The 10,975-nt window shown below is 44.5% G+C and overlaps 1 long non-coding RNA gene across 1 annotated transcript, besides 1 other annotated feature; it reads right to left on the bottom strand.

The window, feature by feature from the left end:
• On the bottom strand, positions 4,439-6,764 carry LOC124902264 (uncharacterized). Its single transcript, XR_007061758.1, has 2 exons — positions 6,653-6,764; positions 4,439-4,702 (listed from the first exon to the last, which is right to left on the bottom strand). It is a non-coding gene; the product is annotated as an uncharacterized LOC124902264 (long non-coding RNA).
• Positions 5,463-6,662: an enhancer, noted in NCBI's record as "P300/CBP strongly-dependent group 1 enhancer chr9:125164273-125165472 (GRCh37/hg19 assembly coordinates)". NCBI's record gives its function as "activates an origin of replication core promoter dependent on BRD2, BRD4, P300/CBP, MED14 and CDK7 cofactors, with strong dependence on P300/CBP, by STARR-seq in HCT116 cells {active_cell/tissue: HCT116}" and the evidence as "EXISTENCE:reporter gene assay evidence [ECO:0000049][PMID:35650434]".
• Positions 6,765-10,975: the final 4,211 nt, after the last annotated feature.

The raw sequence follows: 10,975 nt of genomic DNA on the forward strand, positions 1-10,975 counted from the left end.
GATGATCTGTGCAGCAAACTACCATGGCACACGTTTACCTGTGTAACAAACCTGCACATCCTACACGTGTAACCAATATATGTATATTATTATTCAAGTTCCAATAATCAAATAATACACAAACCACTGTATTATTTGATTATTGGAAATCAAATAATAATAATAATAATAATAATAATAATAATATACATATATTCTGTTGGTTCTAATTCTCTGGAGAACCCCGACTAATACAATGGGTGATTCATTCAGGACTCTCAATGCAAACAACAGAACATTCTCTAGCCTGTATAAGCAGGAAGGAATTTATTATAGGACATTACATAGCTCATGGAGCCACTGGGAGGACCAGGGAATTAGGCTTGGAGGGTTTGCACCTAGGAATGGTGGCCACTGTCCAGTGGAGATGCCTCTACTACTGCCATGGACACAGCATCTCAAATGACACCTTTGCTGCCCAAACCCCACTACTGCTGCCTTCCAAAACAGGCTGCTTCTACAGCCACTTTTGCTGGAAAATGGAATCTGTGTGATACTTGCTTCCTCTCTTTTCTCTACTTAGAATTAAAATTATCTTTATTTTGTGTCGGATTGGTGGAGCCCAGCTCATGTGTCTGTACTGCAGCTACAAGAAAGAATGGAAAGTGAGTTTTCTGGTTTGTGCCTTGAAAAGGAGGAACCCATGATAAGGAAAATTCCTCATACATAGGGAAGGTGTTCAAAGGGGCTGGGAAACGTGGAAAGTCTGCTTCAGTGAATCTGAATTTTCTTAGTTCTGTTCTGCCTCTGTGGGCCCTATCCCTAGAATGTTACAAAGACCATCACAATGGCCTTACTGTTGACCTGGTAGCAGCTCGATATAGTTGCAAGCAAAGAGCTTAAGAAGTGAAGTTATGTAATTATAGAACAACAGAGAAACAAAGACTGTTGGGTACACACAGTCCACTCTTTTAGTAATTTTTGAGTTAAAAAAAGTGTCAGAAACGCAGGAGGCAGAGCAAGAAGGCAGAATAGAAGCTTCTACCAATTGTCTTCCCCACAGGAACACCAAATTTAACAACTGTCTACACAAAAAATGCACCTTCATTAGAACCAAAATTCAAGTGAATGATTGTAGTACCTGGTTTTAACTTTATATTACTGAAAGAGGCACTGAGGAGGGTAGGAAGGATGGTCTTGAATTGCCAGAGCCATCCCTCCCCGATCCCTGGCAGCAGCCACATGGCACAGAGAATCTGTGTAGGGAGAGTGTAGTGGTTGTAGGACTTTGTGTTAGAACTCAGTGTTGCCTTGTTACACTGGAAAGCAACACCAGGCAGAACTCAGCTAATACCCATGAGGGAGAATTTAGATCAGCCCTAGCCAGAGGGGAAGCATCCATCCCAGTTGCTGAATGGGCTAAAGGGCTCTGGGGTTCTAAATAAACTTGAAAGGCAGTATAGGCCACAAGGATTACAACTCCTAGGAAAGTCTGATCTGCGCTTGGAGCCAGTGGACTTGAGGGGCATGTGACCTGCTGCGATAGCCAAGGGAGTGCTTGTGCCACCCCTCTCCCAACCCTAGGCAGTGCAACTCACAGCTCTCAAAGAGACTCCTTCCTTCAGCTTGAGGAGAGAAGAGTAAAGAGGACTTGTCTTGCCACTTGGATACCAGCTCAGCCACAGTAGTTTAGGGCACCGGGCAGAGTCCTGAGGCACCCATTCCAGGACCTAACTTCCAGATGACATTTCTAGACATATCCTGGGCTTATATGGGCCATATAAGGCAGAAGGGAACCTGTTGCCTTGAATGAAAGGATCTAGTCCTGATAGTATTCACCACCTGCTGACTAAAGTGCCCTTGGGCCCTGAATAATCAGCAGCAGTAGCCAGGTAGTACACACTATGGCCCTTGAGTGAGATTCTGAGATGTGCTGACTTCAGGTGTGACCCAGCACATTCCCAGCTGTGGTGGCTATGGGGAGAGACTCCTTCTACTTGAGAAAAGCAGGGGGAAAAGTAAAGGGGATTTCATCTTGCAGCTTAGGTACTAGCTCGGCCACAGTGGGGCAGAGCACCAAGTGGGCTCTCAGTATCCCTGATTCCAGGCCTTGGCTCTCGCACAGCATTTCTGGACCTGACCTGGGCCAGAGGGGAGACCACTGCCCTGATACGTGAGTCCTAGGTCTGGCAGCATTCACCACAAGCTTCCTGAAGAGCTCTTGGCCTTGTGTGAACATTGGTGGTAGCCAGGCAGTACTCCCCATGGGCCTGTGGTGGTGCTGGCCATGGGGAGAGACTCCTCTGCCTGTGGGAAGGGGAGGGATGAGTGGGAAAGACTTGACTTGTAGCTTTGTCTGCAGCTCAGCTGCAGTAGAATAGAACACAAGGCAGATTCTTAAGATTTTCAACTCCAGGCTCTGGTCCCCAAACAGCATCTACGGACCTGCTTGGGGGAACTCGCTGCCCTGAAGGGAAGGACACAAGCTTGGCTGACTTACTGCCTGCTAACTGCAAAGCCCTAAAGCCTTGAGTAAACAAAGGTGGTGGTAGCCAGGTAGTGGTTATAATGGGCCTTGGGTAAGAAACAGTGCTGTGCTGGCTTCAGGTCTGACCTAGTGCAGTCCCAGTGGTGGTGGCCACAGGGGTGCTTGTGCCACCCCTCCCCCAGTTGTAGGCAGCTCAGCACAGAGACAGAGAGACTCTGTCTGTTTGGGAGAAAGTAAGGGAAGAGAACAAGAATATCTGCCTGGTAATCCAGACAATTCTTCCAGATCTTATCCAAGACCATCAAGTGGTACCTCTACAAGTCTGCAAGAGCCACAGCATTACTGGGCTTGGGGTGCCTCCTAATGCTGATATGACTATGGTGACCAAAAACTTAGATGACAACACCCAAGTCCCTTCGAATACCTGGAAAGCCTTCCCAAGAAGGCTTTCCCAAGAAGCCCAGACTGCAAAGACTACCACAAATATCTAACTTTTCAATGTCCAGACACCAGTGAACATCCACAAGCATCAATACCACTCAAGAAAACATGACCTTACTAAACAAACTAAATAAGTCATCAGGGATTTATCCTAGAGAGATAGAAATATGTGATCTTTCTCTATCTCTCAGAGAGAGGTCATATATCTACACCTCTAGGCTTTTCAGACAGAGAATTTGAAATAGCTATTTTGAGGAAACTCAGTGAAATACAAGATAATACAGAGAAGGAATTCAGAATCCTATCAGATCAATTTAACCAAGATATTGAAATAATTAAAAAGAATCAAGCCGAAATTCTGAAGCTGAAAAATGCAACTGACTACTAAAGAATGCATCAGAGTCTCTTAATAGCAGAATTGATCAAAGAGAAGAAAGAATTAGTAACATTTCTATGTGAAAACAGTGAAAATTCTGAAAATAGTAATCCCATTTACGATAGCTACAAATAAAATTAAGTACCTGGAAATTAATCAAAGAAGTGAAAGATCTTGACAATGGAAAATAAAACACTATGAAAGAAATTGGAGAGGACACACGAAAAACAGAAAAATATTCCATATTCATAGATTGGAAGAATCAACATTGTTAAAATGTCCATACAACCCAAAGCAGTCTATAGATTCAATACAATCCTTATCAAAATACCAATGACATTCTCCATATAAACAGAAAAAACAATCCTAGAATTTATAGAGAACCACGAAAGACCCAGAATAGCCAAAGCTATCCTAAGCAAAAAGAACAAAACTGGAGGAATCGCATTACCTGACTTAAAATTATACTACAGAGATATAGTAACCAAAATAGCATTATACTGGCATAAAAACAGACACATAGACTAATGAAACAGACTACTGAACCCAGAAATAGATCTATACACCTACAGGAACTCATTTTTGATAAAGTTGTTAAGAACATACATTGGGAAAAGGATAGTTAATCTTCAATAAATGATGCTGGGAAAACTGAATATCCATATGCAGAAGAATGAAACTAGACTCCTATCTCTTGCCATATACAAAAATAAAATCAAATTTTGAATTAAAAGCTTAAATCTAAGACCTCAAACTACAAAACCACTATGCAAAAACTCTGTGGAAACTCTCTAGGACATTGAAGTGGGCAAAGATTTCTTGAGTAATACCTCACAAGCACAGGCAACCAAAGCAAAAATGGATAAATGGGATCACATCAAGTTAAAAAGCTTCTGCACAGCAAAGGAAACAATCAACAAAGTGAAGAGACACCTCATTTGCCCTGACATGATTATTATGCATTGCATGCCTGTATCAAAACATCTCATGTAACCCATAAATATACACACCTGCTATGTATCCACACACAAAATATGTCTCACACAAAAATATGTTAGACACGCCTACAACCCACTTTTCAACTTTATCATGCTTTTCCTATAAAAATGGACTCTAAATTAAAACAGCTATGTGTGAATGACAGAAAGAAATACTAAAACTTAAAAGATACTTTTATTGAGTACTATTAAGAGAATCACAGTGAAGCACTTTCTTCACTATCTTATCTGTTATTCGTGTTTCATTCAAAGTTGGTTTCCCTCCACACTTGGTCAAAATACGTCTTTTGCTTTCAATCTTTATCCTTTAGTCAAAAGGGATTTTGAGCCATTTGTACAATTGCAGCTTGGGTTTCAGAACGATGTGGCAGTACACCCTTGCAGGTTTCTGTGGCAGGTCGGTCTCCCTCCTGCCTTCAACTGGAGTATAACATACAGCAAAGAGCATTAATCTTAAGTGCATAATTCGACATATTTTTACACATGTATAAACCGCCATAGAAATCAAGATATAGAACATTCCCAGCACTCTAGAAGGCTCTTTTGTGCTCCTTCCCAGTCAAAAACCACTGAAAGGTAACCACTATTTTCACTTTTATCACTTTTGATTAATTTTGTCTACTCACGAACTTCATTTGAATAGCGTCATAAAGTATGTACTTTTTTGTGTGTTTGGCTTCTTTTGCTCAACATAACGTTTGTTGACATCCATGTTGCTGTGTATATCAGCAGTTTGATCTTTTTATTGCTGTGTAATTAACGTATATCACAGTTGATTTATCTAGTCTTCTGTTGATGGACATTTGGGTTGTTTCCATTTTTTTTACTATTATGAATAAAACTACCCTCTATGGTAGATTTTAACTCTTTTTTTTTTTTTTGAGATGGAGTCTCACTCTGTCGCCCAGGCTGGAGTGCAGCGGTGCGATCTTGGCTCACTGCAAGCTCCACCTTCCGGGTTCACGCCATTCTCCTGCCTCGGCCTCCCGAGTAACTGGGACTACAGGTGCCCACCACCACACCTGGCTAATTTTTTTGTATTTTTAGTAGAGACGGGGTTTCACCGTGTTAGCCAGGATGGTCTCGATCTCCTGACCTCGTGATCCGCCCACCTCGGCCTCCCAGAGTGCTGGGATTACAGACATGAGCCACCACGCCAGGCCGATTTTAACTCTTATAATGAGGGCTGTAATTAAAACATCATCTTTACATACACTTATTATGGGAAATGGTTCCAGTTCTCTATTCAAAATTCCCCTTTGTGTCTTCTCTTGCTTCATGGACTGATGGAAAGAGAAAGTGGATTCACGAGGGTACACGTACCATTAGAGAAGGAGAAAGGGAGCATATATTTATCAGACATCTACTCTGGGGCATGTATTTTACCTGCCTATTGTATTAACTCCTCCTAACAATTTTGTAGGTAGGTTTTCCTGTTTCACAAAGGATGAAATTGAGACACAGAAAAATTAGGTGACCTGTCTGGAGTCATACAGCTACAAAGTGGTAGGAGGTCACATGAAATTCCAAAGCGTGGCCTTTTCCCACCATGTGCCCTGTCCAAATCATCTAGAACCAGAATCACAGTAGGGATGGGGGAGTGGAGGGTGGTAGGCATTGGTGATATTGATGCACTTCCAGATGATTCTATCCATAAGCCTCAGAGGGAGCCCTCTGCACTGTATCATGCTGCCTTTGGTCATTCTTTTCCTCTTTAGATGAGTGACGTTTTCTTTCCTCTCCCCATGACTCACTTTTTCCACGCTTGCTGTCTCCTTTCTAATCTATGACTCACACTCTGCATCCTCAGTGACGTTCACTGCATATAACTGGTTATCTGAAATCTCAAAGCAGTGCCATCTCTCTCCCTGCCTGCTGCCCACTTGCCCTTACCCCTTCCCTCACCAAGTGAGCCACACTCAGTGAGGCCCCAACCCAAGCTCTGCCTCCTTCACCAGGCTGATGCTCAAGGATCTGCTCTTGTCTTGATTCTCAGTTCCTGCCCTTATGGGAGGGATTCAGGCCAGATCCTAATTTCCTCCTCCTCCACACTCACCCTATGGGGTAGAAAAGACGGTCTACCAGTTATTTTTCTTTCATTGTGGTAAAATACATGTAATGTAAAGTTGATCATTTTAAACACCTTACAGCGTGCAATTGAATGGCATTTAGTATATTCACAATGTGGCGCAACCATCACCAATACCTAGTTCTAGAACATTTTCATCATTCCAAAGGAAACCCCATAACCATTTTCAGCAGTCACTCTCCATCTCCAGCCCCTGGCAACCATTAACTTTCTTTCTGTCTGACAGTGTTAACAGCATTCACTACATGCCAGGCATTGTGCTAATATCATGATATGCATACCTTATTAATTCTCATGCCAGCAGCTCTGTGAAACTGGGGTTCTTCCTTCCATTTCACAGATGAGATAATTGAGGCTCAGAGAGAAAAGATTTATGTGAGGTCACAAAGCCCGTAAGTGGTAGAACCTGGACAAAACCACCCCCCACTCCAGCCCAGCGCTGTTTCCAACCACTGCTAAATGATGACCAAAACATGAATGATGCAGGTCTGGGTAACTCCTAAGCACATATATTTTCCATTCCAAAAGAATATTCTTTCCACTCCATCCTGAAGGTCAGTGGTAACAAAAAACAAACAAAAAAACGCAGTGAGCACACATTCAAATGACTTACGTTCCAGGAATTTTCTGGGATCTGTGACCCCAGAAACTATTAGTTGACATCTTGGGATGGCACACAGGGCAAGCAGAGTAAGAAATAAAGTGACTCCAAATGTGTCACAGGCTGAGGGGGTCTCACGAAAGGAAAGGTTCTAACTGGTACCAGATGGCTGTTTCTCCTGCCTTGTTGTCTAAGATTCTTTCTTCAAGAGTTTGGGCTTTTGGTTGCTAGGACCATGTAGGCTGACTTCCCTTATGGTTCCAGAAACGAAGGAAGCAATTGCAACCTCTGTCCACAAAAAAAGGAGGAGCTTATTAGACTTAACAGAAAAGCTACCATATGACATGCAAGCAAGGCCACGTTTTCCTGATCTTCATGCAATTAAGACAAATCTGTGTTGGATGCCTCGTCCTACCTCACACCAAACATGTTAAAATGTGGCCATATGGCACATTTAGTATAATTTACATATATATGTTGAGGTAGGTTTTAGTTGACTAACATAATACATTTTGTAGACATTTAATTAAACATTTATAACTTTCATTTTGTAAGTTTTTGGGACAGTACAATTATTTCTTCCAAGTCTCAAATAATTCCATAAACCTTTGAAAAGGTCAGTGACCACCAAGCATTGTGCATTGTGTGGGTTTCTTAAACAACCTTGCTTTGTGAGCCTCTCTGCATGATCACTGTTGTTGAGTAGCTGGTCATTCTGGTCATTGGTCTGAATCTGATTGCCTTTATCACTCAGCCAGACAAGAGCTCAGAGGTGGAGTCTCTGCTGATTTGGAAAAATATGGAACATAAGTTCCCCAACAAAGTGTTCCAGTAGATTATTTTTACTTATCGTGCTTCACAAATATAGCTGAACTTGTAGCTGCCATTCAAAATGGCAGCTGGTCTGGACACTAATTGTTAGCAGTTTAGGGAGGACGCAGGGAATCTCACCATTGATGGACTTTGAGCAGTGTAAAAATTGGTAAAGCACAGGGGTACCTGTGGGCATAACCTTGCTAGTAGAAGAGTAGTGACAGAAAAATCATCAAAGGCTTAATAGTGAGGTGGCTTAAAAATAAATTTACAATGCAAATTGAGACATACTTTGCTTACATTAAAATGCACACATCTCAAGTTTACAGCTTGAACTTTTTTTTTTTTGAGACAGGGTCTTGCTCTGTCATTCCAGCTGGAGTGCAGAGGTGTGTGATCGCAACTCTCTACAGCCTTGACCTCTGAGCCTCAAGCAATCCTTCTACCTCAGCCTCCTGAGTAGCTGGGACCACAGGTATGCAAAACCACACCTGGCTAATTTATTTTTTATTAATTTAATTAATTTATTTTTTTAAGACAGAGTCTTGCTCTGTCACCAGGCTGGAGTCCAGTGGGGCAATCTTGCCTCACTGCAACCTCAGCCTCTCAGATTCAAGCGATTTTCCTGCCTCAGCCTACTGAGTAGCTGGGACTACAGGTGCGCGCCACCACACCCAGCTAATTTTTGCATTTTTAGTAGAGATGGGGTTTCACCATGTTGGCCAGGATGGTCTCAATTTCCTGACCTTGTGATCTGCCCACCTTGGCCTCCCAAAGTGCTGGGATTACAAGTGTGAGCAACTGTACCTGGCCTATTTTTATTTTTTGTAGAGATGGGGCCTCCCTCTGTTGCCCAGGCTGGTCTTGAACTCCTGAGCTCAAGAAATCCTCCTGCCTCTGTTTCCCAAAGTGCCACTGTGTCCGGAATTGGTGGGTTCTTGGTCTCACTGACTTCAAGAATGAAGCCGTGGACCCTCAAGGTGAGTGTTACAGTTCTTAAAGGCAGCATGTCCAGAGTTTGTTCCTTCTGATGTTCGAATGTGTTCAGAGTTTGTTCCTTCTGGTGGGTTCGTGGTCTCACTGGCTCAGGAGTGAAGCTGTGGACCTTCGCGGTGAGGGTTACAGCTCTTAAGGCGGTGCATCTGGAGTTGTTAGTTCCTCCCGGTGGGTTCGTGGTCTCGCTGGCTTCAGGAGTGAAGCTGTAGATCTTCAAGGTGAGTGTTACAGCTCATAAAGGCAATGTGGACCCAAACAGTGAGCAGCAGCAAGATCTACTGCAAAGAGCAAAAGAACAAAGCACCCACGGGTTGGAACAAGACCTTAGCAGGTTGCCACCGGGGTGCAGGCGGCCTGCTTTTAGTCTCTTATCTGGCCCCACCCACATCCTCCTGATTGGTCCATTTTACAGAGCTGATTGGTCTGTTTTACAGAGCACTGATTGGTCCGTTTTGACAGGGTGCTGATTGGTGCGTTTACAATCCCTGAGCTGGACACAAGGGTTCTCCAAGTCCCCACCAGAGTAGCCAGATACTGAGTGTCTATTGGTGCATTCACAAACCCTGAGCTAGACACAGGGTGCTGATTGGTGTGTTTACAAACCTTGAGCTAGATACAGAGTGCCCATTAGTGTATTTATAATCCCTTAGCTAGACATAGAGGTTCTCCAACTCCCCACCAGAGTAGCTAGATACGAGTGTCGATTGGTGCATTCACAAACCCTGAGCTAGACACAGGGTACTGATTGGTGTATTTACAATCCCTTAGCTAGACATAAAGGTTCTCCAAGTCCCCACGAGACGCAGGAGCCCAGCTGGCTTCATCCAGTGGATCCCGCAGCGGGGCCGCAGGTGGAGCTGCCTGCCAGTCCCGCGCCGTGCGCCTGCACTCCTCAGCCCTTGGGTGGTCGATGGGACTGGGCGCCGTAGAGCAGGGGGTGGCGCTCGACGGGGAGGCTGGGGCGGCGCAGGAGCCCACGGCGCGGGGCGGCTCAGGCATGGCGGGCTGCAGGGCCCGAACCCTGCCCCGGGGGGAGGCAGCTAAGGCCCGGCGAGAAGTCGAGCACAGCAGCTGCTAGACCAGGTGCTAAGCCCCTCACTGCCGGGGGGCCAGTGGAGCCGGCTGGCCGCTCCGAGTGTGGGGCCCGCCGAGCGCCCGCCCACCCGGAACTGGCGCCTGCTCGCAAGCGCCGTGCGCAGCCCCGGTTCCCGCCTGCGCCTCTCCCTCCACACCTCCCCGCAAGCTGAGGGAGCCGGCTCCGGCCTCGGCCAGCCCAGGAAGGGGCTCCCACAGTGCAGCGGCGGGCTGAAGGGCTCCTCAAGTCCCGCGAAAGTGGGAACTCAGGCAGACGAGGCGCCGGGAGCGAGCGAGAGCTGCGAGAACTGCCAGCACGCTGTCACCTCTCACCACGATTACAGGTGTAAGCCACAGTACCTGGCCTACCTTGAACTTTTTTTAACCTAAAGAGGTAACTGCTAGTCTGACTTCTAGCACTGTAGATAGTTTAGCCTGTTCTTGAACTTCATACGAATGGCATCATACTATATATATTCTTTAATTAATTTTTTAAAGAGACAGGGTCTCATTCTGATGCCCAGACTGGAGTGCAGTGGTGCAATCATAACTTGAGGCAGCCTTGACTTCCTGAGCTCAAGGGATCCTCCTGCCTCAGCCTCCTGAGTAGCTGGGACTACAGACACCATGCCTGGCTAATTTTAAATTTTTTTTTTTGTATAGATGGGGTCTCGCTGGTCTTGAACTCTTAGGCTCAAGTGATCCTACTGACTCAGTCTCCCAAAGTACTGAGACTACAGGCATGAGCCACCACACCTGGCCTATATATAGTCTTTTAAAAGTTTCTTATTTCTTTTGCTTAACCTAATGTCTTGTGAAATTATCCACGTTGCTGTGTTTATCAGCAGTATGTTCTTTTTCAGTCCTGGGTGGCATTCTGTTGGGTAAACATACAGCAATTTGTTTATCCTTGTTTATCCTTGCTGATGGACATTTAGATTGTTTCTTGTTTGGGCTATCGTGAAAACAACTATTGTGAGTATATGATACAAGTCATTTGTGAATATAAGTCTTCCTTTCTCTTAAGTAAATATCACAAATATTTGTAATACCTATAACTTCTAGTAGTGATAAGACAAACAACCCAGCAAGAAGGCAAAAGATTCCAGCAGACACATCA

Source organism: Homo sapiens, chromosome 9 (assembly GCF_000001405.40).
Source record: "Homo sapiens chromosome 9, GRCh38.p14 Primary Assembly".
NCBI classification, from domain to species: Eukaryota; Metazoa; Chordata; class Mammalia; order Primates; family Hominidae; genus Homo; species Homo sapiens.